Genomic DNA, 26516 nt, shown 5'->3' on the forward strand with positions numbered 1-26516 from the left:
AGAACAGCATGGGGGAAACCATCCTGGTGATTCAGTTACCTCCACCTGGTACTGCCTTTGACATGTGGGAATTACAATTCAAGGTGAGATTTGGGTGGGGAAACAGAGCCAAACGGTATCATTCTGCCCCTGGTACCCCCGCCAAATCTCATGTCTTCACATTTCAAAACACAATCATGCCCTTCCAACAGCCCCACAAAGTCTTAATTCATTTCTGCATTAACCCATAAGTCCCAGTCCAAAGCTCATCTGTGACAAGGTATTACTTCGTTCTCATGCTGCTGTGAAGAAATACCCAAGACTGGGTAATTTATAAAGGACAGAGGTTTTTTTTTTTTTTTGAGATGGAGTCTCGCTCTGTCGCCCGGGCTGGAGTGCAGTGGTGCAATCTGGGCTCACTGCAAGCTCCGCCTCCTGGGTTCACGCCATTCTCCTGCCTCAGCCTCCAGTAGCTGGGACTACAGGCACCCCCCACCATGCCCGGCTAATTTTTTGTGTTTTTAGTAAAGACGGGGTTTCACCGTGTTAGCCAGGATGGTCTCGATCTCCTGGCCTCGTGATCCACTTGCCTTGGCCTCCCAAAGTGCTGGGATTACAGGCGTGAACCACCGCGCCCGGCCAGGACAGGTTTTTTTGTTTTTGTTTTTTGTTTTTTTTTCTTTTGAGACAGAGTCTCGCTCTGTCACCCAGGCTGGAGTGCAGTGGGGCGATCTCAGCTCACTGCAACCTCTGCCTCCTGGGTTCAAGCGATTCTCCTGCCTCAGCCTCCCAAGTAGCTGGGATTACAGGTGCCTGCCACCACGCCTGGCTAATTTTTGTATTTTTAGTAGAGACAGGGTTTCACTGTGTTGGCCAACCTGGTCTCGAACTCCTGACGTCAGGTGTTCCGTGCCCCCTTGGCCTCCCAAAGTGTTGGGATTACAGGCGTGAGCCACCGTGCCCAGCCGTAAACCTCTTTTCTTTATAAATTACCCAGTCTAGGGTATTCCTTCATAGCAGCATGAGAACAGACTAATACAGAACCCTCATGTACTATGGCCAGGAAAGAGGTTTAATTGACTCATAGTTCTGCATGGCTGAGGAAGCCTTAGGAAACTTACAGTCAGGGTGGAAGGTGAAGGGGAAGCAGGTACCACCTTTACAAGGTGGCAGGAAGGAGAAGTGCCAGGCAAAGGCGGAAAAGCCCCTTGTAAAATCATCAGATCTCATGATAACTCACTATCAAGAAAGCAGCATGGGGGTAGCCACCCCCATGATTCAAATTACCCCCCACCAGGTCCTTCCCATGACATGTGGGGATTATGGGAACTACAATTCAAGATGAGATTTGGGTGGGGACACAGAACTAGATGATATCATATATCATCTAGTCAAGACATTTGTCTTTTTTATTGGGTATTTGATTACGATTGTTTGATTCCTAATTCAAGTAAGGTTCACACTTTACACTGGGTGATAGAAACCTGTAAATTAAGAGACCTCAAACAAAGACAAAAACAAAAAATTAAGGGTCAGGCACAGTGGCTCAGGCCTGTAATCACAGCACTTTGGGAGGCTGAGGTGGTAGGATCACTTGAGCCCAGGAGTTGAAGACCAGCCTGGGTAATATAATGAGACTCCATCTCTACAAAAAAAAAATGTTTTGTTTTTTTTTGACTTGGAGTCTCTGGTGCTGAGGCGTGAGTGCAGTGGCATGATCTTGGCTCACTGCAGCCTCCGCCTCCTGAGTTCAAGCAGTTCTTCTGCCTCAGCCTCCCAAGTAGCTGGGATTACAGGCACCCACCACCACGCCCGGCTAATATATATATATATATATATATATATATATATTTTTTTTTTTTTTTTTTTTTTTTTTTTTTTTTTTTTTTTTGAGATGGAGTTTTGCTGTTGTTGCCCAGGCTGGAGTACGGTGTCCTGATCTCGGCTCACCACAACATCTGTCTCCTGGGTTCAAGCAATTCTCCTGCCTCAGCTTCCCAAGTAGCTGGGATTACAGGCATGCGCCACCACGCCCAGCTAATTTTTGTATTTTTAGTAGAGACAGGGTTTCTCCAAGTTGGTCAGGCTGGTCTTGAACTCCCGACCTCAGGTGATCCGCCTGCCTCGGCCTCCCAGAGTGCCTGGTTTACAGGTGTGAGCCACCGAGCCCAGCCTAATTTTTGTATTTTTAGTAGAGGCAGGGTTTCACCTTGTTGGCCAGGCTGGTCTCGAACTCCAGTGGTCTAAATCCTGACCTCAGGTGATCCACCCACCTTGGCCTCCCGAAGCGCTGGGATTACAGGCGTGAGTCACCCTACCTGGCCTACAAAAAAAAATTTTAAGATTTAAAAAATAAAACACAAGAGACCTCTTTTTTCCTTGCAATTTGTTTTTTGAATAAAGGGTCGTTTGTCCTGGCAAAGTTTCCCACAATCTGGATTTTGCGTATTGCATCCTAAGAATGGTTTTTACTCACAGCCGTTCTGACACCAAATGTGTGGGGTTTTTCCACCACTCGACGACCAGTTCTCCAGTTCTCTGGACACCAACTGGGTATCCTACAATTCAATTGAATTCTGACCGTAACTACCCAGAATTACTGCAGACTCCACAGGTTAAGGACTCAGTCCCATAAGACAGTGCCCACTTGACACACCAGTTATAAGTTCCAAATTGCCTCGTGTACTTCTGACCAACCAGCTGTAAACTGGGGTTTGCCATGACCACCTTTTCAGGTTTAATAATTTGCTAGAATGATTCAAAACTCAGGAAAGTGCTTTATTTACTGTTACTTGTTTATTATAAAAGACATAACTTCAGGAACAGCCAAATAGCTGTGTAGGGCTAGGTATGGGGGTGGGGCCTGGAGCCTCCGTACCCTCTCTGGGTGTGCCACCCTCCCGACACCTTGATGTGTTCACCACCCTAGAAACTCCAAACCCCATTGTTTAGGGGGGTTTTTGTTTTGAGACAGGTTCTCACTCTCACGCAGGTTGTAGTGCAGCGGCGCAATCTCGGCTCACTGTAACCTTCAGTTCACAGCAACCTCCGGCTCCCAGGCTCAAGCAGTCCTTCCATCTTAGCCTCCCGAGTAGCTGGGACTGCAGGCATATGCCACCGTGTCTGGCTAATATTTTCGTATTTTTGGTATAGACGGGGTCTCACCACGTTGCCCAGGCTGGTCTTAACCTCCTGAGCTCAAGCGATCTGCCCGCCTCGGCCTTTCCAAAGTGCTGGGATTACCGGTATGAGCCACTGTACCTGGTAAACTTAAATTATTTGCACAGATGTAGTTCCTCAGTGCACTAGCATTTTATTTATTTATTTTTATTTCTATTTATTTGTTTGTTTTTTTGAGACAGAGTCTTGCTCTGTCACCCAGGCTGGGGTGCAGTGATGTGATCATGGCTCACTGGAGTCTTGACCTCCCAGGCTCAAGCAATCCCCCTGCCTCAGTCTCTCGAGTAGCTGGAACTACAGGTACCACTACACTCAGCTAATTTTTGTATTTTTTATAGAGACAGGGTCTTCCTATGTTGCCCAGGCTGGTTTCAAACTCCTGGGCTCAAGTGATCTGTCTGCCTCTGCTTCCCAAAGTGCTGGGATTACAGATGGGAGCCCCCGTGCCCGACCTGGATTAGCATTTGAATAACAGCTATTTCATAAAATTCTTCTGCCTTCTGAAAAGTATTTGAGAAGGCTGGCATGGTGGCACATGCCTGTACTGTCCTGGGCCTCTTCTGGGGGAGAGTGACAGGCTTGGATTTAGAGCAGGCCCAGCCCTCCCCACCCTGGTTGGCTGTGGTTCCCAAAGATGTGTCCAGTGACCGAAGCTTGAGTCGGTGACAGCCTCTGGGTAAGCTTCCACAACCCTGGGGTTATCTGTCTGAGGCTGGGCCTAGGTCAGGCTGATGGGAGGATGGGTCAGAGGCTGCTGTGATTGGCCTTGACTCTGCCTGGTGGTTTAGCTCTGCCCTTGCTTAACCTCCAGGAGCTAGGAAGGAAGTACAAATGGGATGTGACATGATTCAGTGGAGCTGGGAGAGGGGAGGGCCCTGCTCCCACCTCCCTTTGGCCACTGGTTGGCAAATGCCTTTAGTTCAAGGTCTCTCTGATTAGGGACTTAGGACCAAGGCCTTGTGGTGGAACAGCCTCTGCTGGTGTAATTATGACCTATTGTTTCTACTGACAGCAGAATGGCCTCCCCTACCAGTTTAATTTGTGGTTTAGGGGGTACGTTTGGTGTTCTTTAACCTTGTAGAGTGTGGAGCTACTGTGGTGTGGCATGGGACAGGGGGTTTGGGCATAGCAGGAGAATTTGGCGTCAAATGGGTGAGAATCCACAGGGCATTTAGCAGAACCCCAGGTCTGGGGGCCCGTGGGTGACTTCTGTGACCTTGAGCCCCTGCAGAGCTTTCCCTGCAGTTCTGCCTTAGAGATGCTTGAAAGAGGGTTTATTGACCACTGATCACATGGCAAGTGCCCTGCAAGGCCTCTAGGGGTATGTGCGTATGTGTGCACATGCACACTGTGTATGGGTTGGCATTGAGTTGAGTGTCCTAAGGGTATGTTCCTGGCCAGAGGTGAAACTTTGACACTTGACTGGTCATGGAGGATGAATTGGTTTGCCAGGTGACCTGAGAATGGGGATGAGACATTCTAGGCAAAGAACAACACATGCCAAGATTGCTTTTATTTATTTTGAGACAGGGTCTCCCTCTGTTACCCAGGCTGGTGGCGCGATCTCTGCTCACTGCAACCTCTGCCTCCCGGGTTCAAGTGATTCCCCCACCTCAGCCTCCCAGGTAGCTGGGACTACTGGCGTGTGCCACCACACCGGGCTCATTTTTGGATTTTTAGTAGAGACAGGGTTTTACCATGTTGGCCAGGGTGGTCAAGAACTCCTGACCTCAGGTGATCTGCCCGCCTCAGCCTCAAGTGATCCACCTGCCTCATCTTCCCAAAGTGCTGGGATTACGGGCATGAGCCACCACACCTGGCCAAGACTGTTTTTAGAGATAATAACTTAGACCAGGCATAATGGCTTACACTTGTAATCCCAGCACTTTGGGAAGATGAGGCAGGTGGATCACTTGACCCAGGAGTTTGAGACCAGCCTGGGCAACATGGCAAAACCTTGTCTCTATAAAAAAATACAAAAATTAGCCAGGCATGGTGGCATGTACTTATAGTCCCAGCCACTGGGGAGGCTGAAGTGGGAGGATCACCTTAGCCCAGGGAGGTCGAATGCATTCCAGCCTGGGTGAGTGAGACCATGCCTCAAAAATAATAATAATAATAACAAGATAGAGGCACAGAGACATGACCTCAGGGTCACGCAGGTAAGAGTAGACCAGGAACTCAAATCTAGGTGTGATTTTGAAGTATGCATGGAAATTGGCCAGGAGGGCTTGTTAAAAATACAGATTGCCTGGCCATACCCCAGAATTTCTGATCCAGTAGATCTGGAGTGGGGCTTAAGATTTAGCGTTTCTAACAGGTTCCAGGTGATGCTGATGCTGCAGGTCAGGGGAACCCTGTGATGTGGACCTCACTAGGCTCTTGATTTGTGCTGTCATACTCAATCCTCATGACGGATAAGGAAACAGGCTTAGAAAGAGTCAAAGTTGTTCACTTGTCTAAGGCCAGGAGCCAAATAATGACAGGTGGCAATAGTATGGGTGGAGGGTTGTCCTTGGGTAGCAGGGAGGCTGGCTAGCACATCCTGGAGTGGAAACCTCCTGGGAAGGTGTAGTGGAGAAAAAGGATTTGAAGTTGATAGCTTGCTTGCTGGAGAGAGGGTGAACAGGCTCTTCCTTCAAGAAAGCTCCCTGGCTTTGACCTGGCGCGGTAGCTCATACCTATAATCCCAGCACTTTGACCGGGCACGGTGGCTCACACCTATAATCCCAGCACTTTGGGAGGCTGAGGCAGGCGGATCACTGGAGGTCAGGAGTTCGAGACCAGCCTGACCAACATGGAGAAACCCCATCTCTACTAAAAATACAAAATTAGCCAGGCGTGGTGGCACATGCCTATAATCCCAGCTACTCGGGAGGCTAAGGAAGGAGAATCACTTGAACCCGGGAGGCGGAGCTTGCAGTGAGCCAAGATCACGCCACTGCACTCCAGCCTGGGCAACAAGAGTGAAACTCCATCTCAAAAAAAAAAATTAAAAAAAAAAGCTCCCTGGCTTTCTGCTAACGTGTCCTTTTTGGGTGTGGTGTCAAGTCTTGCATAGCTGGACTGTGGTCTTGGAGACAGGATGCACTAAGAGTAAGAGTGATTAGTCAGAGGAGTGGGCCTGAGAACTCAGGAAAGGCTTGTGAGGGACTGAGGCTTGAGTTTTTACTTTAAACAGCGCCACTTTTTTTGTTTTGGTTTTTTTGAGACAGAGTCTCGCTTTGTCACCCATGCTGGAGTGCAGTGGCCTGATCTCAGCTCACTGCAACCTCCACCTCCCTAGTTCAAGCAATTCCCCTGCCTCAGCCTCCTGAGTAGCTGGGATTACAGGCGCACGCCACCGCGCCTGGCTAATTTTTTTGTATTGTTAGTAGAGACGGGGTTTCACCATGTTGGCCAGATTAGTCTCCAATTCCTTTATTTATTATTATTATTTTTTTTTGAGATGGAGTCTTGCTCTGTCACCAGGCTGGAGTGCAGTGGCACGATCTCTGCTCACTGCAACCTCTGCCTCCCAGGTTCAAGCGATTCTCCCACCTCAGCTTCTCGAGTAGCTGGGATTACAGGCCCCCGCCACCATGCCCAGCTTTTTTTTTTTTTTTTTTTTTTTTTGTATTTTTGGTAGAGACAGGGTTTCACCATGTTGGCCAGGATGGTCTTGACCTTGTGATCCACCCTCCTCAGCCTCCCAAAGTGCTGGGATTACAGGTGTGAGCCAGCGCGCCCGGCCAAGCATCACTTTTTAAAACAGCCAGTTTATTGAGACAGGTGCTTTGCAGGTATTGTCATTACAACCCTATGAGATAGATGTATTTTCCTCATTTTGCACATGAGGAAACCGAGTTTCTGGGTGCAGTGCTTTGCCCTTGCACCCAGCAGGTAGAGAGTGGGGCTGGACTCCAGGCTGTGGGACACTGTCCCCTGCTCTGATGCCTCATGGCCTTTCTTCCCTCTCCAGCTTATCACACAGACTTTCAGCCACCACAATCAGCTGGCACAGAAGACCCGGCGGGAGAAGAGAGCCCGGCAGGAGGCCGAGCGGCGGGAGAAGGCGGAGCGGGCGGCCAGACTGGCCAAGGAAGCCAAGTCAGAGACCTCAGGGCCCCAGATCAAGGAGCTAACTGATGAAGAGGCAGAGAGGCTGCAGCTAGAGATTGACCAGGTGAAGGGTGGGCTTCCCTTCTCCACCCCTCAGATCCCCCCTGGCACTGAGCAGTGGGGTCCTGTTGCCAACTGCTGTGCTCTTTGCCCCAGAAAAAGGATGCAGAGAATCATGAGGCCCAGCTCAAGAACGGCAGCCTTGACTCCCCAGGGAAGCAGGTGAGATGGACTGCAGGGACTTGGGATGAGCCAGGAGCTTGGAACTTACAGGAAATCTCCTGCCTACTGCTTTCTCTGGAATACCCTTCCTTATCCTATCCCCTCCCCTCCTGGCTTTGGGAATCTTCCCCATACTTTAAGATCACACTCAGAGACATTGAACCAAAGGATCCAGGTTAAAAAAATAAAAACCTGCCAGGCGCAGTGGCTCACACCTGTAATCCCAGCACTTTGGGAGGCCGAGGTGGGTAAATCACGAGGTCTGGAGTTCAAGACCAACTTGGCCAAGATGGTGAAACCCCATCTCTACTAAAAATACAAAAATTAGCCAGGCATGGTGGTGGGCGCCCGTAATCCCAGCTACTCGGGAGGCTGAGGCAGAGAATTGCTTGAACCCGGGAGGCGGAGGTTGCCATGAGCCGAGATCACGCCACTGCACTCCAGCCTGGGCGACAGAGCAAGACTCCGTCCCAAAAAAATAAAATAAAAACCGACTGACCTTAACCTGTTTATGGCAAGAAAACCCAATAGCCAGAGAGGGCAGTGCCTATTACAGGTCCCATCTGAGGTTGGCTGGGTTCTGTGGGCCCAGCCATATCCTTTGTCACATGGTATAATATTAATAGTCTGAGCTCCTCTCAGACTGAGATCAGAACCAAGTTTTACCTGGTTCCCAGTGGACCAAGGCTTGGGGGTCTGCCCCTCTGTGGAGTGGGCAGGGACCAGGTCTGTTTTCTTTTGTGGCTGTATGCCCAGTGCTAGCCCTGGGCTTGGCCCAGTGAGGGTTCAATCTGTGTCTTGTCTGTCAAGTAAGTAGCTGAGTGTCCCTGATTGTAAGCAGGATACTGAGGAAGATGAGGAGGAAGATGAGAAGGACAAAGGAAAACTGAAGCCCAACCTAGGCAACGGGGCAGACCTGCCCAATTACCGCTGGACCCAGACCCTGTCGGAGCTGGACGTGAGTGTCAGGGACCAGAGGTAAAGCTTAGGGGGCCAGCCTGGGGTACCAGCAGCACTTAGTGGCCTCTTCTGACTGCCTCTGCCCTATGCAGCTGGCGGTCCCTTTCTGTGTGAACTTCCGGCTGAAAGGGAAGGACATGGTGGTGGACATCCAGCGGCGGCACCTCCGGGTGGGGCTCAAGGGGCAGCCAGCGATCATTGATGGGGAGCTCTACAATGAAGTGAAGGTGGAGGAGAGCTCGTGGCTCATTGAGGACGGCAAGGTGGTGACTGTGCATCTGGAGAAGGTATGTGAGGCCCAGCCCTTCTAGCCTGGGGTGTTGATGGAAGTAGAAGGGAGGATGTGTGCTTAGTTTACTCAGGAGCCATGCTGGGGGCATTGTGGGATTATCTTAATCCCCATGACAACACTCTTTAAAGTAGATCTGTCTCTATTTTATTTTCTTAAAGACAAGGTCTCACTCTGTTGCCCAGGCTGAAGTGCAGTAACACCTTCTTAGCTCACTGCAGCCTTGAACCCTTGGGCCCAAGCAATTCTCTCGCCTCGTCCTCCTGAGTAGCTAAGACTACAGGTGTACACCACCACGCTCGGCTAATTTTTGTTATTAAATTTTTTTGTAGAGACCGGGGGGTCTCACTATATTTCCCAGGCTGGTCTTGAACTCCTGGCCTCAAGTGATCTTCACACCTTGGCCTCCCAAAGTGCTGAGATTACAGGCTTGAGTCAGGAAAAGAGCTCGTTGATTTACCCAAGCTCCTACCTCTGGGAAGGGGTGGAGTCAGAATTGAAAGTCTTAGTTTCTAAAGCCACTTCTTTTTCACTAGGTTTGTACATGCATTCAATTCATCAAATACTTGAACACCTGCTCTGTGCCTGGTACTGTTCTTGTTCTAAGTGCTGGAAAGAGAACAGTGAACAAAACATAGGAAAATATGTGCCCTCAGGAAGCCTTCATTCTCAACCTCACTGCCTTTACAGAGAGGTAGGACACAGAGATCAGTAAATAAAGGTGGTCTGAAAAGGGCCAAGGGTCTGAGGAGAACTTCCCAGGGCACATAAGACCCTGTAACAGCCTGTCCGACTGGCACTGGCTGCCTTCACTCACTCACCCCTCCATGCCTCTGCACTTGCTTTGTCGCCCAGGCTGGAGTGCAGTGGCGCGATCTCGGCTCACTGCGAGCTCCGCCTCCTGGGTTCATGCCATTCTCCTGCTTCAGCCTCCAGTGTAGCTGGGACTACAGGCGCCCGCCACCATGCCTGTATTTTTTTTTTTGTCTGTTTTGTTTTCTATTTTTTAGTAGAGACAGGGTTTCACCGTGTTAGCCAGGATGGTCTCGATCTCCTGACCTTGTGATCCGCCCACCTCGGCCTCCCAAAGTGCTGGGATTACAGGTGTGAGCCACCATGCCCAGCCCTTTCCCTGCCTTTTAAATTTATTTTTTATTTTTTGAGACAGGGTCTTGTTCTCACCCAGGCTGGAATGCAGTGGCGCAATCACGGCTTACTGCAGCCTTGACCTCCCGGGCTCAAACGACCCTCCCACCTCAGCTTCCTGAGTAACTGCGAGCGCCACCCTACCTGGCTAATTTTTAAATGTTTTTTGTAAAGACAGGGTCTCATGTTGCCCAGGCTGGTCTGAAACTCCTGGGCTCAAGGGATCTTCCTGCCTTGGCTTCCCAAAGTGTTGGGATTACAGGTAGGAGCCACTGCACCTGGCACTTCCCTGCTTAAAAACTTTTTCTGGCTGGGCGTGGTAGCTCATGCCTGTAATCCTAGCGCTTTGGGAGGCTGAGGTGGGCAGATCACGAGGTCAGGAGTTTGAGACCAGCCTGGCCAAGATGGCAAACCCCATCTCTAATAAAAATACAAAAAATTAGCTGGGCATGGTGGTGGGCGCCTGTAATCCCAGCTACTTGGGAGTCTGAGGCAGGAGAATCGCTTGAACCCAGGAGGTGGAGGTTGCAGTGAGCTGACTGCACCACTGCACATGGTGGCTCACACCTGTAATCCCAACACTTTGGGAGACTGAGGCAGGCAGATCATCTGAGGTCAGGAGTTTGAGACCAGCCTGGCCCAATATGGTGAAGCCCCGTCTCTACTAAAAATACAAAAATTAGCCAGGTGTGGTGGTGCATGCCTATAATCCCAGTTACTCGGGAGGCTGAGGCCGGAGAATTGCTTGAACCCGGGAGGCAGAGGTTGCAGTGAGCCGAGATGGTGCCACAGCACTCCAGCCTGGACAAGAAGAACAAGACTCCATCTCAAAAAATATATATATTTATTTTCTTCCCATTTTAAATCTGGAATACTGCTTTGTGTCTTAAGACTCAGCCCGAGTGTCACTTTCAAACTTTTCTCCCTCCACCCTGGATGAATATCTCCCTTTCTGCTTTCTTCTTTCCCTTATCACACTGATTTGTAACTCTTTGCCTCTGTGTCTCCCCTAGCTGCAGGAAGGGCACAGTCTTGTACCTCTGGATCCAGTGTAGGCCTGCAAGGGTCTCAGGTGCAGGATGTGGATGGGAGAGAGTTTGGTTGTGAAAGGGTTAAGGGGTGATTCCTGGTGCACAGAGCAGGCCACCTCCCACCCTCTGGTTGTTCTCTTCACAGATCAATAAGATGGAGTGGTGGAGCCGCTTGGTGTCCAGTGACCCTGAGATCAACACCAAGAAGATTAACCCTGAGAATTCCAAGGTGAGCCCTGGCTGGTTGGGGGAGCTTCAGCAGGAAGGTGAGGGGCCTCGTTGTTTCCAGAGCTTCACCGATTCCTGTCACTGCCTGCCCTCAGCTGTCAGACCTGGACAGTGAGACTCGCAGCATGGTGGAAAAGATGATGTATGACCAGCGACAGAAGTCCATGGGGCTGCCAACTTCAGACGAACAGAAGAAACAGGAGATTCTGAAGAAGTGAGCAATTCAGAGACGGGGTTGGGGGACCGTGGGTGCCTGGGGGCTTAGACTTCGGTGACAGCAGTGAGTGGATCACTGCGCTGCCTCAGGAGCTGCCCTGCCCCCTTTCCAGCCATGTTTATGGCTTTATGGCTTTGGCTTGCCTACTCTTGTCATTTGCTGAGGTCATCTTGAGGGCAAGGCCGGCTCATGGTGCATGATAGGAGGGAAGGGGTAACAGGCGGTCATTGCCACCTACAGGAAAACAATGCCAGTGTTGGTGCCTCAGCTTCCAGCCTCGGGACTCAAATGCGTCTCAGATACCCTGGGCCCTGCTCCTGCCCAGCCTGGCTTGGTGTTGCTGAGGTCTAAAGAGATTAGACTTGACACGGGGGTGCTGGGAGAAGGGACAGCTTTAGAAGAGAAGGATGAGCTGTTTCATCTTGCTTCCGTTTCTCCAGGTTCATGGATCAACATCCGGAGATGGATTTTTCCAAGGCTAAATTCAACTAGCCCCTGTTTTTTCCTCCCTGAACTCTTGGGGCTGAGCTGCAACCACCCAACTTTCTTTCCCACTCTTCTCTGGGACTTGTGGGCCTCAGGGCTTGGGGCAGGCATGGGACTGGCCCAGGCACACAGGTCCCGGGGCATCAGGAGAAAGGCTGGGTCTTGGGACCTTGTCCTCCCCAGTTGGCCTACTGTTACACATTAAAACGATTTGCCCAGCTCCTTCTGTGTCCTCTCTTGCCTCTGGCCTTTCTCTGGGGCACAGGCCTCTTACGGCTGCTGCTGGGAACTGGGAGTTTGGCTTCTAGCCCAGATTCTGCCATGTGACCTAGGGCACATCCTTGCCCCTCTCTGGGCCTCAGTTTCTCATTACTTAAAGATTAAAACAAGGCTTGGCCGGGTGTGATGGTTCATGTCTGTAATCCCAGCACTTTGGGAGGCTGAGGGGAGCAGATCACCTGATGTCAGGAGTTTGAGACCAGCTTGGCCAACATGGAGAAACCCAGTCTCTACTAAAAATACAAAAATTAGCCGGGTGTGGTGGTGCACACCTGTAATCCCAGCTACTCGGGAGGCTGAGGCAGGAGAATCGCTTGAACCCGGGTGGCGGAGGTTGCAGTGAGCCGAGATTGCACTACTTCACTCCAGCATGGGTGACAGAGACTCCATCTCAAAAAAATAAATAAATAAAACAAGGCTTTTAGTCTATGTATGTTTCTGAGCAAAGGTTGAGTTTTTCTGGCTACAGAGACCAGAACACATGTCAGATTCTCAAAGGGGCGCATGACCCAAAAAAGTTTTAAGACCGCTGGACTTGTTGATCTGATTTTTACTTCCCACTGCAGCGGGTCTGCCCTCTAGCCGTGAATCAAGTATTCTTGAAACTAGAGACTATTGTGTCCCAGGGCAGAAGAGCAGCAAGGGCCAAGGTGACACTGCCTGGCTCAGGGGAGGGGTACCAGGAGGACAGCTCAGGCCTCAGATCTGGTGTGTGTGGTACAGGGACCTTACCAGGAGGACAGAGTAAAGTCCAGTGAGGCTCCATTGTTTGTATCTCAGACCTGGACCTCTGCAGATTCTAGGCCTTCTCAAAGCCAGCTCCCAGGGCTGAAGAGGTGCTCCCCTTTGCTCAGATCCAGCCCACAGAGCTGACCCCTGCCCCACTTTGGCTAGAGAGTGGAGGTCAGAATGCTTGGGCCACAGAGGTTATAGCAAGAATGTCTAGGTTGACTTGCTGTGAGTGCTTAGTTCTTTGGCTCCTAAATTTCTGGAACACAGATGTTTTTTTTAGAATTTGAGAATAGCTGGGCACAGTAGCTCACGCCTGTAATCCCAGCACTTTGGGAGGCCAAGGCAGGCAGATCACTTGACGTCAGGAGTTCGAAACCAGCCTGGCCAACATGGAGAAACTCCATTTCTGCCAAAAATATAAAAAGTTAGCTGGGTGTTGGCCGGGTGCGGTGGCCCAGGCCTGTAATCCCAGCACTTTGGGAGGCCAAGGTGGGTGGACCACAAGGTCAGGAGATCGAGACCATCCTGGCTAACATGGTGAAACCCTGTCTCTACTAAAAATACAAAAAATTAGCCGGGTGTGGTGGCGGGCGCCTGTAGTCCCAGCTACTTGGGAGGCTGAGGCAGGAGAATGGTGTGAACCCAGGAGGTGGAGCTTGCAGTGAGCAGATATCGCGCCACTGCACTCCAGCCTGAGCAACAGAGTGAGACTCCGTCTCCAAAAAGAAAAGAAAAAGCTGGGTGTGGTGGCACGTGCCTGTAATCACAGCTACTTGGGAGGCTGAGGCAGGCGAATCACTTGAACCTGGGAGGCTGAGGTTGTGGCGAGCCAAGATCGTGCCACTGCACTCCAGCCTGGGCAATAGAGCGAGACTCTGTCTCGGGGAAAAAAAAAATTCAGAATAGCTTGTTAAAGATTTCAGAGAGGCTATGCAGTACATAGCTTTGTCTGTTTTCCAAACTTGCTAAACCTTTTTTTTTTTCCTGGGAATGCAAATAATGGTTTAAAAGGCTAGGTTTGGAAAATGGTGCTCTAGGGCTGAGGCTTGGTTCGTGGTGTCACTCTACCGCTCTGTACTCCTGTTCTGCCCCGTGGTCATTTTAATCTTTTGGAGGCCTTGACCCGGATGCGACAGCAGAGCCTGGAGTTAGAACTGAACCCTATGTTCATAGCCCTGAGAGATCATCCTGTTTCCCTTAGGAAACTGGACAAACAAGTACAATTTGTCTAGTAGTTACTTTCCAAAGGGTGCCTTTCGGAACAATAAAAAGGGCGGTGGGGGCAGCAGGTCAGATGGGAGCTGGAGTGGGGGGATCCTCAACACTTTCTAGCTTGTTTGTTAATTAAGAATGGGCTGGTGGGCCTGCCCCGGCCTCTCTGCTGAAAGAGGACCAGTAGATAAGCCTGTGTGTGAGGAGCAGCCAAGTAGGATCCTTCTGAACTCATCTGGGCTCTGCTACCTAATGAAGGGATTCTGCATCTGCCCCAGCAAGGCCAGAGCCACAGTTACTAACTGCGTGTCCCACTAAGTTCCTTGACCTCACTGTGAGCCCCACGTTTCCTCTCTGTGAAAGAATAATGTCCTTTCTCCAACGTTATTGGAGAGGCCAAGAAGATACTGGTGAAAACCACAGTGCTGGCCAGGCGCGGTGGCTCACGCCTCTAATCCCGGCACTTTGGGAGGCCGAGGCGGGCGGATCACCTGAGGTCAGGAGTTCGAGACCAGCCTGACCAACATGGAGAAACCCTGTCTCTACTAAAAAATACAAAATTATTTGTGCGTGGTGGCGCATGCCTGTAATCCCAACTGCTCGGGAGGCTAAGTTAGAAGAATCGCTTGAACCCGAGAGGCGGAGGTTGCAGTGAGCCAAGATTGTGCCATTGCACTCCAGCAGCTTGGGCAACAAGAGCAAAAACTCCATCTCAAAAAAAAAAAAAAAAAAAAAAAAACCACAGTGCTCTGTTACTACCACAGAGAGAGTGGAAGGGGAGCAGCAGGTCCAAGGCTGGGTAGGGCCAACAAATGATCAAGGCTTTGGGGAAACTGTGGGCTGGGCAGAAGCAGGCCAGCCTGCAGGCAGTGGACTGGGAGAGCAGAGGCAGTTCGGACAGGCCTCCCTAGAAGAACCTCTCAAACAATGTCAGAAACCATTTATCCAACCTTTCTCAGGCACAGACTCTGTGCTTGGTTCTTTATCTCCTGGAACTCACAGTGAACCTGAAATGGGGGCAGCATTACTCCCATTTTATCCTTCCTACTTTAACTGCAGGGCACTAAGCCAGGCTGGACACATATCCTGTCTCCTGCTCTGGGCAGCAGTTAAGTGAGGCAGATGGGAGAGAAAGGACAGCCAAGAAAGCAGGCAGATACCAATTACCTTTGTACTTACAAACTGTGGTCATGTTAAGATACAGAACATCAGCCAAGAACCAGAACCAACTCCTTAACATAACATAGAGTGGGCCCTGCCCACCCCCCAATACAATACATTTAAGATAAGCTTCTTTTAACTGTTGAATTACCCCAGGGAGGGAGAAGTTTGCATGATTGGTTAGGGTGGCAATAGGGGGATGGAGTCAGGGTTCACTCCCAGAAGGTAATGCCTAACTCCTTACTTTCCATGATCAGGCCACCTGAAGACCATGAGCAGGAAGGAAGGGGCCCTGGCAGGGATCAGACCAGCTGGGGATGCAAGGAGATGTAGATCCCATGGCCCAGTGAAATGCACATGGTCCAGGAACCCAGTCAGCCAAGGCAGGAGGAGCCAGAGTGGGCACTGCTTCAGGTCTAAGCCTCTCCCACAGGGGTTCCTGGTCCCCCTCTTCATTCTGTAGGCCATGCTTCTCCCAGAAAGGGTGTGGCAGCTGGGCCTGGCAGGGGTTAGCAGTACACCTGGAGCAAGGGTGCCCCCGACGAGTCTGTGTCGGTGCCCTGGAAGGATGAGTCATGGCTTGCTGGGTACCCTGGTAGGAAGGAGAGGAGAGGAGGAAACAGGCTCAGGGGAAGGAGCTCATCCAGATCCCATGACCAGGGAGAAGCCTGCTGAGAAGGAGCAGAGTGGGACTTGAGCCTGGGTCAGTCTGATCCTGGCTGGATGACCCACTCAGTTTATTGACCTCTCTGAGCCCTAGCCTCCCTTTCTGTAAAAGGATAATGATTCCACTCCCAGGGGGTTGTTGTCAAGGGCAAGAAGACCGCAACAGAACCACACGGGTGTCTTTCCAGCACCATGCTGGATGGCTCCCCACCCACTACTTTCCTAGTCATCTGGGCTTGAAGGTTGGGGTCTGATCACTTTCAGCTTGCCTGTTCTGGGCACCTGCACCCACTTTAAGCCAGCTTGCTAGATGGAGACAGGTCTGTGGCTGCTTAGGTCCCCGTCCCTTTTTGATGTCATCCTCATCACCCCAAAAGAAAGCTGGGAGAGCAGCAGGTGAGGGGCCCCTAGGGTAGTCCCCCACCCTCCACACCCCTCATTAGGTCAAGACCACACCTGGAGCTCCATAAGGCCTCAGCTTCCGGGCGATGGCATCTGCAGTCGTCTCCTGGGAGATCTGCACTGTCAGCTCTAGGGAGGGAACGTGAGGCAAGCAGTGGTCATTAGCACGTTCTTTCAACCCTATTTCCTACTTCTGTTCCCAGCCCGATGAGGGAGGAGCCACTCACTCCTGGGCAGGGCTAGAAAAATAATGCTTAAAGACAGAGACATAGACAACGTGTGCATGCGCAGAGTGATGGATGAGTGGGAGTTTTGGTTAGCCCAGAACAGGTCAGAGGCCCAAATTCATGTGGGTCCCTAGGTCCTGTTCACCAGACCAGGCCTAGAAGCTACTCTGGCAGGAGACAGCAGAGGAGAGGAGCCTTTTGGGTAAACTTGTTGAATGCAGAGGGAACCTTGACCTTTCTGGGGACAGCAGCGATGGCCAGAGAGCTCTCCCAGGGTCTGCATGCTTCTCTCAGCCTTGCTCGGACCTCACCAGGAAGGGCCAGAGTGGGAGCTGGGGAGAGGGGATGCAAGAGTTGACAGAAAGGAGGAGGAAAGGCAGGGACTGGCTGAGGGGTAGACCCACAGTGACTAAAGACCCCATTCCAACCCTCCCCTGGCCAGAGCCTCCCCTACTCTGCCCCTCAGCCCCATGGGGCCCCCACCTACCATCCTGGCTGAGACCTGAGCCCACCATGGTCTCATGGCCACTGTCAGGGGCAGCAGCGGTTGGGGCAGCAGCCCGAGTTGAACGACCCTCCGAGGTCTGTGGGCGAGCACGGCTCTTTCGGGTACTAATGCGAATGATGCCGCGTACCAGGCGGCCCTCAGCATCCTGCTCATCCAGGTGGTAGTCCTGCGTGATGCTGCTGATAAGGTCCGAGATCTTACTGGTCTTCTCCAGGAACACAGTGTCTGATGTGCACTTGGCCAGCTCATCGATCTGGTGTACGCTGAACAGCTCTGTCAGCTTCTTGAAGATGAGCACATCAATTTCTCGGCTCGACATGGAGCCACTGCCCATCTCCGGCAGGTCCAGGTCCGACTCATGGAAAGAATAGTACTCCTCGGAGCCACGAGGACTACTGGCAAAGGTGCTGGGCAGGCTGTGTCGCATGGGTGGGGGATCGGCCAGTGGCTCCTTGCAGCAGGAGTCCGCATCAGGGGCTGGGGAGGTGGCCCTCGGGTAGGGATACACAGGGATGCCTTTGAGCTTAACATCGGGGTAGCTGAAGCTGCTGCCCATGGTTGACTTGAGCCGCTGGCCATCCCGCCGGCTGGGGGGTGCACGATCAGGGCTGGGGGGCACTCCATTGTGCTCCTTGGCCCAGTTGGCTTCAGCAGTCCCCTCAGTGGAGTCCTCAGTAGACAGGCAGGGGCTGCATCCCCGCACACAGGCTCCACAGCGCTGGAGGCAATCCCGGCAGCGGCGGAAGCAGAAGGCAGCCCGGCACCACTCCCACACCCAGGGTCGCCAGAGCAGGCAGCAGGTGGGGGACTCAAGGGCCGGCTCAGCAGAGCCAGAGATGAAGGTAATGCTCTCTGGCCCATGGTGGCCAGGGTCCTTGGGGTCTGGTCTACGGGTGCGGCGGCTTGGTGGGGGCTGAGGTGGTTTATCATATGTCTCCAGACATAGCTCTGTTGGCCGCTCCCACGGTCCCAAGCGTGGAGGCCCAGATGCTGGGCGGGGGTGTCCAGGGCGGGGCATGGCTCATTGCATGGTTTGTAGCAGCCAGGCACCTGCGTGGGGAGAGGCCAGGAAGGAGTCAGGATCAGAGGTGAGGGACAAACTCCTGGGCTGACTTGAGCAGCTTCACATTTCTAGTTTCTGAGAGGCCTGGGATGTGGATGGACCCAAGTATGCCCAAAAACCCTTGCCTGGGATGTGGATGGACCCAAGTATGCCCAAAAACCCTTATCTCTTGTGGCCCTCCCTCCACAAAGAGAAAGTCTCTGTGGTCTAACCCAGATTTCAAAATTCCCTGTGACTTAGACCTATTGGGATGGCTATGAAAGGTTGAACATTGGCCGGGCGTGGTGGCTCACGCCTGTAATCCCAGCACTTTGGGAGGCCGAGGCAGGCAGATCACCTGAGGTCAGGAGTTCGAGACCAACCTGACTAACATGGTGAAACTCCGTCTCTACTAAAAATACAAAAAAAATTAGCCAGGTATAGTGGTGGGTGCCTGTAATCCCAGCTACTTGGGAGGCTGAGGCAGGAGAATCGCTTGAACCCGGGTGGCAGAGGTTGCAGTGAGCCAAGATCACGCCATTGCACTCCAGCCTGGGCAACAGGGCGAGACTGTGTCTCAAAAAAAAAAAAGAAAGAAAAAGAAAAAAAGAAAGGTTGAACATCTTATCTGAAATGCTTGGGTCCAGAAATGTTTTGGATTCTGAATTGTGGATTGTATACATTATACTTACCTGTTAAGCATTCCTCATCCAAAAATCTGAAATGCTCCAATGAGCATTCCTTTAAGTATCATGCTGGTGCTCAACTTTCAGATTTTGGAGTGTTTTGGATTTTTGGATTAGGGATACTCAATCTCTCAATCTGTATTTAAAAATAATCTCCCTTCTCCCAGAAAATAATGAGTGTTGGCAATAATGTGGAAAAACTGGAACCCTTGTGCATTTCTGGTGGGAATGTAAAATGGTGCAGCTGCTATGGAAAACAGTACGGTGGTTCCTCCAAAAATTAAACATCGAATTACCACACGACCCAGCAATTCCACTTCTGGGTACATACCCAATCTAATTGAGAGCAGGGACTCAGATGTTTAGACAATGTTCACAGCAGCATTATTCACAATAGCCAAAAGGTGGAAACAATCCCAGTGTCTACCAATGGATGAATGACTAAACAAAATGTGGTATATACATACAATGGAATATTACTCAGCCTTAAAAAGGAAAGGAAATTCTTATACATGCTGCAACATGGATGAACCTTGAAGAACTTATGCTAAGTGAAATAAGCCAGACACAAAAGGACAAATAGCCCGGGTGCGGTGGCTCATGCCTGTGATCCCAGCAATTTGGGAGGCTGGGATGGGTGGATCACTTGAGCGCAGGAGTTCAAGACCAGCCTGGCCAACATGGTGAAAGCCCATCCCTACTGAAAATACAAAAATTAGCTGGGCGTGGTGGTGCACACCTGTAGTCCTAGTTACCTGGGGGACTGAGGTGGGAGGACCACTTGAGCCTTGGAGGTGGAGGTTGCAGTGAGCTGAGATCGTGCCATTGCACTCCAGCCTGGGCAACAAAGCCAGACCCTGTCTCAAAAAAAAAAAAAAAAAGACAAATATTGTAAGATTCCACTTATATGACATCTCTAGAATAGTCAAATTCATAGAGACACAAAGTAGAATGGTAGTTGCCTGGTGCTGGGGGCAGAGGGGACTGGGGAGTTAGTGTTGAATGGGTAGGGAGTTTCAGCTGGGGTAGATGAAAAAGGTCTGGAGATGGATGGTGGCAATAGTTGTACAACAATGTGAATGTATTTAATGCCACAGGAATGATGCTTAAATATGGGAATGATGCTTAAATATGTTTTTTTTTTTTTTTTTGAAACGGAGTCTCACTCCGTTACTGAGGCTGGAGTACAGTGGTACCATCTCGGCTCACTACAACCTCTGCCTCCTGGGTTCAAGTGATTCTCTTGCCTCAGCCTCCCAAGTAGCTGGGATTACAGGCACGTGCCACCACGCCCAGCTAAGTTTTGTATTTTTAGTAGAGACAGGATTTCACCATGTTGGCTAGGCTGGTCTCAAACTGCTGACCTCAGGTGATCTCCCCACCTCAGCCTCCCAAAGTACTGAAATTACAGGAATGAGCCACTGCGCCTGGCCAAATGTGGTTTCTTTAAAAAAAGGTTAGGCCAGGCGCAGTGGCTAATGCCTGTAATCCCAGCACTTTGGGCGGCTGAGGTGGGCGGATGATTTGAGGTCAGGAGTTCTAGACCAGTATGGCCAACATGGTGAAATCCTGTCTTTACTAAAAATACAAAAATTAGCTAGGTATGGTGATGGGCACGTGTAATCTCAGCTACTGAGGAGGCTGAGGCAGGAGAATCGCTTGAACTCAGGAGGCAGAAGTTGAAGTGAGCCGAGATGGCGCCATTGCACTCCAGCCTGGGTGACAGAGTGGCAAGACTCTGTCTCAAAAAAAAAAAAAAAGTTAATAAGTTACCTTTTTTTTTTTTGAGATGGAGTCTCGCTCTGTCACCCAGGCTGGAGTGCAATGGCGCATTCTCGGCTCACTGCAACCTCTGCCTCCCAGGTTCAAGTGATTCTCTTGCCTCAGCCTCGGAGTAGCTGGGATTACAGACGTCCGCTACCACGCCCAGCTAATTTTTGCATTTTTAGTAGAGATGGGGTTTCGCCATGTTGGCCAGGCTGGTCTCGAACTCCTGACCTCAGGTGATCTGCCCACCTCAACCTCCCAAAGTGCTGGGATTACAGGCATGAGCCACTGCACCCAGCCTACTATGGTAACTTTTATAGCTATTTTACAGAAAGATCTCCTGGATCTCACTTTCTGTGAAGTGGTTTCCCCCAGTTTCTTCCTGCTGTTGGTAAGTTTTTCTTGTTGAGAGCCTCTGTGGCTGCTCAACAAATGCCTTTCCATAAGACTTGCTATGGAACCTGATCATTAATACCTTTTTCCCTCTCCTGGTCCTTCAAATCAGATATGGGAATTTACAAGGTCTGTCAATATTTCAGTCTTACTCACATTTGCCCTGCTAGCAACATTTAACACCAACCACTGTTGGTGTCCTTTGATTAGATAAAAAAGCTGAGCCACAAAATATGTCTTCTTTCCCATTCTGACCTGGTTGCTAGGAAGCTCAGAGCTAGGACTTCCTTTACTTCATAAACACTGAGGCTGGCCCTGTGCTGGGTACCGTAGAACCAAAGATGAATGAATTACAGATCCTGTTCTTGATGATTCACATATGGTTTTGCAGGGAAAACAGATGCTTAAAAGTTTGTAAGATGAGGGCCGGGCACAGTGGCTCATGCCGGTAATCCCAGCACTTTGGGAGGCTGAGGCGGGTGGATCACGAGGTCAGGATTTCGAGACCAGCCTGACCAACATGGTGAAACCCTGTCTCTACTAAAAATACAAAAATTAGCTGGGCGTGGTGGAGCGTGCCTGTAATCCCAGCTATGCAGGAGGCTGAGGCAGGAGAATCGCTTGAACTTGGGAGGCGGAGGTTGCAGTGAGCCCAGATCGCACCACTGCACTCCAGCCTATGCAACAGAGTGAGACTCCATCTCAAACAAACAAACAAAGTTTGTAAGATGGAGCATGTAGGATATATGAAGCATCATGGGAGTAAATAACTCTGCCTGACAGAGTCAAGGAAGATTATGCAGTAGTGTATTTGGGAAGGTCCTTGATCTCATGTAGGGGTTTGCCAGGCAGTAACTATCCTTAGCTTGGATTTTCTGAGACACTGATCCCTTATCCTTTTATTCCTGAATTAATGGCACTGGGGTCTTAAACCGGGGGTGTGTGAGGAATGTGGAACTGGGCATCGGGATATCTGTGTTTTAGTTCCAGTTCTGGCCCTAATCTAACCCCAGATTTGGCACTTGGGAAAATTAATGCCACCTCCCTAAAGAGGGCCATCATTATCTCTCACCCAAATACTGTCACAGCCGCCATTCTGGCCACTTCCATTCCCTCTTACTTGCTGTAGCAAGTAAAAACTTTAAAATGTTTAGAGGAACACGGCAGACACCACTTTAATCAAATGATCAAAGATAATATCACCATAATGGGATGAATTGACATCAAGTTCCTCCTGATACTATGTACTAAGGAGGATACAACTCACGAAGTATTCCTGTCAAAAATGCATAACCTGAATGTAATAATGAGGAAATAATAGACAAGCCCAAGTTGAGAAACATGACAACTAAATGCAGTGTGATCCTAGAAAGGATCCTGGATTGGGAGGAAAAAATTGGAAATTGGATAATGTGAATAACTGGTGAAATATGTTATTTGATAGTATTATATCAATGTTACATTTTCTGAATTTGATTACTGTGGTTATATAAGATAATGTTCTATTCTTAGGAAACATACATTGAAGCACTTGGGGATAAAGGGGCAGGATTATCTGCAACCTAATCTCAAATGGTTCAAACACAAAAGAACAAAAGTTATGTGTGTGTAGAGAAAGGGAAAGAGGGAATGTTGCCCATGGTAAATGGGGATGTGAAGGATACAGTTCTTTTATTTATTTTATTTTATTTTTAGAGATAAGGTCTCCCTCTGTTACCCAGATTGGAGTGCAGTGGTGCAACCCTAGCTCAATGAAGCCTCAAACAACAGGGCTCAAGTGATCCTCCTGCCTCAGCCACTTGAGTAGCTAGGACTATAGGTGCATACCACCCTGCCCCACTAGTTTTTTGTTTTGTTTTGTTTTTTGGTAGAAATGGGATCTTGCTATGTTGCTCAGGTGGTCTTGAATTCCTGGCCTCAAGTGATCTCCTGCCCTGGCCTCCCAAAGTGCTGGGATTACAGGCATGAGCCTCTGTGCCTGGCCTAGGATACAGTTCTTTAACCATTCCTACAACTCTTTAACCTACTCTCCTGGCCTTACTCAGCACTCCTTCTCCAGGGACCTTCTGGAACCACTAGTCAGATGGGAGGCCCTCTCCCCATGGCCTTCTGCTGGGCTGTCAGCTGGGTCAGCCTTGTACTGATTGTTTGAGGATAAGTCTATGTCCCCAAGGACCATGACCCTGAAGTGCAGGGACTGTGTGTAATTCTTTTCTGCCTCAGGGTCTGGAACAGGGTTTGGTACACTAGGTGCCTCAGGGGACTGACAGATTTCAGGTTGCCTCAGGGTAGAACCAGCGCCACTGGGTACAAAGAAAAAAAGACTTAGGCTCTACGTTGACCAGAGTATGGATGGGGGATAGGAGGTGAGGGAGAGAGTGAAATCCCATCTGCAACGGTATCCCAAATAAAATTCTAACAGGTGATTTTAAATTCCCTTGCAATCTGAGCTAAGTGGTTAAAAATCTTTGCTTTAGTTTGAGAAATGTGGGGTATGGATTCACACATTCACGCAATTAACAGATATTTACTGAGGGCCCACTGTGTGCCACATGCTGGATTTATTATTATTATTATTATTATTTGAGACAGTCTTACTCTGTCACCAACGCTGGAGTGCATGGCACGATCTTGGCTCACTGCAACCTCTGCCTCCCAGGTGGAGGCAATTCTCATGCCTCAGCCTCCTGAGTAGCTGGAATTACAGGTGCATGCCACCACACCCAGCTAATTTTTTTGTATTTTTAATAGAGATGGGGTTTCACCATGTTGGCCAGGCTGGTCTCGAACTCCTGACCTCAAGTATCCACCTGCCTCAGCCTCCCAAAGTGCTGACATTACAGGCATAAGCCACCGCGCCCAGCCAGCTGTTCTAAATTCTTTTTTTTTTTTTTTTTTTTGAGATGGAGTCTCACTCTGTTGCCCAGTCTGGAGTGGAGTGCAGTGGCGTGGTCTTGGCTCACTGCAACCTCTGCCTCCCGGGTGCAAGCGATTCTCCTGCCTCAGCCTCCTGAGTGGCTGGGACTACAGGCGCGTGCCACGCCTGGCTAATTTTTTGTATTTTTAGTAGAGATGGGGTTTCACCATGTTAGTCAGGATGGTCTGATCTCCTGACCTCGTGATCCACCCACCTCGGCCTCTCAAAGTACTGGGATTACAGGCGTGAGCCACCGCGCCCGGCCTAGCTGTTCTAAATTCTATGGATAAAGTGATAAAACAGACAAAATCCCTCAACCTCAGGAGTTTACAATCCAGTGAGAGTTGATTATTGATGGCTTACACTGTTCTAAGTACTTCAGACATAATAACCAATTAATTTTCACAACCCTCTTTGTAATATTATTACCTGTATTATTATACTAAAGCACAGACAGGTTAAATAAGTTGTCCAAAGCCATACATCTATCTGTACACAATTGGCCTGGCCCCAGACTCTTATCCACTACCCCATCCCATCTATTACTTGGGAGAAAAGAGGCAGTCAAAGCTGCCAGCTCCATGGACCAGCGTGTGCCCAGAGAGAGCCCATGTTGGGAGCCCTGTCTTCCAGGCTCAAGCCTTCAGGAGAGTGGACAGATCTACAGTTAACCATGCTGAGCTCGGAAGTACGTGGGGCTCCTGAGGATGGACTGGCTATTGTCTTCTCCCCAACCTCCAAAGCTTTAGGACTCTCTATTATTGATTAAATTAATACAACGAGGTGCCCAGCGTTGTGCTAAATGCTGAGAAAACAGCAGTGAATGGGCCAGAGGACTTTCACCTTATTTGACTCTCACAATTGCTCTGAAAATAAGTAGTATATCTCCATTTCACAGATCAGGAATCTGAAGCTCAGAAAGGTGAAGTGACTGGCCCAGAGACACCTAGCAAGAGAGGGCTGGAGTAAGATTTGCACTGTGGCCCGCCAGGCTCTGAAGCCTGCGTACTTTGTGTGTGCCACACATCTCCAGCGGTGGTGGGATGAGAAGAGAAGACCTGGGATAAGGACAATGCCTGCCTCAGTTCCCCACTTCCCTCCAGCCATTGAACCCTCCTGAAGTCAAACTCAGGCAGTTTCTTCCAGGCTGTATCTCCCCGACCCTGCTGCCACCGCCCCGCCACCACCCCGCCCAATCCTAGGAACCTGGTCACTTGGTTTAGTGAGGGGAGACTCCCTGTCCCTATTGTGGCTTGAGGCAAGATTCTTAACCTCACTTTCCTCATCTTTAAATAAGGAGAGACTAGTATCTTCATGCCCCGCCAATCCCGTGAGATTTAAATGAAATATTGAGTGCAGGGGGCTTCCCGCAGTGGCCTTGCCCATGGGAGGGGCTAGGTCACTAGGCGATCTAAGGCACCGCAAGGATGTTCCCGGGGGTCAGAGGGTCCCGGCCCGCCCTCCCTGGATTTCTCGTTGATGCTTTCCTCTTCCCCCTTAGTCCCGCGAACACACACACACACTCAAGGGTCTATGTACCGTCCCCTCCTCCGAGGGTCCCCAGGACAGGCCCGGCCGCACCAGCCTCTGCCCCCAGCCCAGTGCCAAGCCTCGGACACCCGGCCGGGGAGGACCACCCCAGTCCTGCTCGAGAAACAGCCGTCGGCTCAGTGCACCCTCGGCCTCCTGCCCCAAAGGTGCAGCCCGAGAGTCCCATATCCGCGGGCAGCTAGTCCTGGGGACAAGGAAGAACCAGATCCTGGCACTGTCCCCCGGGCTACCACAGCCCCTACACCAACTCTGCCCTCGGGGCGAGCACTACCCTCTCCAGCTGCAAGGGCCCTACCCCGCGGGCGGACCCAGCCTCCCTCCCGTCCCGACGCTGTTCCTCGGGGTGAGCACCAGCGTTTGTCCCATCCCGACGCTGCCCCCCGGTGAGTGCGGCCCCCGCACCCAGCCAGTGCAGCCCTAAGGGCGAACGCGGCCCCTCACCCCATTCTGCGCGCCCAGCCCGGGCGCCCGCTCAGGCCGCTCCCCAGCCCGGCCCGCGCACCCCGGAAGTAGGAGGGTGGCCCCCGAGGAACCGGGCCCGGGACCCTCTCCTGTCCGGGCTCAGCTTCGGGGGGCTCCCGACACCGGCGCCGCCCTGGCTTGCGCCCCCCTGGGCCCGCGCCGGGCTTACCTGTCCCGCCAGGTGAGCCGCCTCCGGCTCAGCCCCTCCCCCGCCCCCTCGCCGCTCACCTGGGGCGCAGGTGAGCGTCTCGCGGGAGCGCTGCACGGGCCGCCGCTAGGGACACACTTCCTGCCTCCGCGAAGCGCTACCGCGCACCTGGACCGAGGCCCCGCCCCGGGGCTCTGCAGAGCTGCGCGTCCCCGCTCGAGTGCTCGGCCCGTTCAGCCTAGTCCGGGTAGGTGAGGTGTGGCGGGGAGGGGTCGAGAGGCGCTGGGGCTCAGTCTCCTCTTCTGTTCAACAGGCTGGTGGTCCTGTCAGTCTCTGAGCACCTGTGGAACTTCTGCCCGGCCGTAAAGCTCCAACTCAAAGGGAAGCTCTCTTCTGGGAAGCTTTCCCTGATCCTGTCTGTTTTTCTGTTGGTTAGAACAGTCCCTGTACTCAGCACACTGTCGTTTTGTTGTCTTCTGTCTCCTCCTTTAGCCTCCTACCTTGCAGGGTTTGGTCTTGTTCCC

At 51.0% G+C, this 26516-nt stretch overlaps 2 protein-coding genes across 8 annotated transcripts in view, besides 2 other annotated features; one reads left to right on the forward strand and one right to left on the reverse strand.

The window, feature by feature from the left end:
* The window catches only part of NUDC (nuclear distribution C, dynein complex regulator), a 46711-nt gene extending 34176 nt beyond the window's left edge, over positions 1-12535 (forward strand). For all 5 annotated transcript variants that reach the window (XM_047439143.1, XM_047439206.1, XM_024452486.2 and 2 more), the window contains 7 exons: positions 7121-7324; positions 7417-7482; positions 8324-8440; positions 8535-8729; positions 11054-11137; positions 11232-11350; positions 11794-12535. In XM_047439143.1, coding sequence (XP_047295099.1) covers positions 7121-7324; positions 7417-7482; positions 8324-8440; positions 8535-8729; positions 11054-11137; positions 11232-11350; positions 11794-11845 — 837 coding nt within the window. In that variant the 3' untranslated portion in view covers positions 11846-12535. The remainder of the gene's footprint in view (positions 1-7120; positions 7325-7416; positions 7483-8323; positions 8441-8534; positions 8730-11053; positions 11138-11231; positions 11351-11793) is intronic.
* Positions 13902-14196: a silencer, noted in NCBI's record as "tiled region #10310; K562 Repressive non-DNase unmatched - State 18:Pol2". NCBI's record gives its function as "represses a minimal TATA promoter and a strong SV40 promoter by Sharpr-MPRA in K562 cells {active_cell/tissue: K562}" and the evidence as "EXISTENCE:reporter gene assay evidence [ECO:0000049][PMID:27701403]".
* Positions 15226-26132, reverse strand: KDF1 (keratinocyte differentiation factor 1). Of its 3 annotated transcripts, none has more exons than XM_011540622.3 (4): positions 26073-26132; positions 17006-18076; positions 16346-16420; positions 15226-15815 (listed from the first exon to the last, which is right to left on the reverse strand). In XM_011540622.3, exons 2-4 carry the CDS (start codon positions 18042-18044, stop codon positions 15733-15735), a joined length of 1197 nt encoding a protein of 398 aa, XP_011538924.1. In that variant the 5' UTR covers positions 18045-18076; positions 26073-26132; the 3' UTR covers positions 15226-15732. The 3 variants fall into 3 exon arrangements, with proteins under 3 accessions (XP_011538924.1, NP_689578.2, XP_005245792.1); NM_152365.3 differs by having other exon boundaries at positions 26014-26132; XM_005245735.3 differs by lacking the exon at positions 26073-26132 and adding an exon at positions 19510-19617.
* Positions 25570-26252: an enhancer, noted in NCBI's record as "H3K27ac-H3K4me1 hESC enhancer chr1:27286397-27287079 (GRCh37/hg19 assembly coordinates)". NCBI's record gives its function as "activates a minimal SCP1, AML or CMV promoter by ChIP-STARR-seq in naive and primed H9 embryonic stem cells {active_cell/tissue: H9 hESC(naive and primed)}" and the evidence as "EXISTENCE:reporter gene assay evidence [ECO:0000049][PMID:30033119]".

The sequence above is a fragment of the Homo sapiens genome, chromosome 1 (genome assembly GCF_000001405.40).
Source record: "Homo sapiens chromosome 1, GRCh38.p14 Primary Assembly".
NCBI classification, from domain to species: Eukaryota; Metazoa; Chordata; class Mammalia; order Primates; family Hominidae; genus Homo; species Homo sapiens.

Excerpts from the sequence above, each read along its gene's own strand:
- KDF1 (XM_011540622.3), bottom strand. The coding sequence starts at position 18,044 with ATGCCCCGCCCTGGACACCCCCGCCCAGCATCTGGGCCTCCACGCTTG. Across the intron at positions 16,421-17,005 it reads CTCAGGTCTCAGCCAGGATG|AGCTGACAGTGCAGATCTCC; the intron begins GTAGGTGGGGGC and ends TTCCCTCCCTAG. Across the intron at positions 15,816-16,345 it reads GAGGCCTTATGGAGCTCCAG|GGTACCCAGCAAGCCATGAC; the intron begins GTGTGGTCTTGA and ends CCTTCCTACCAG.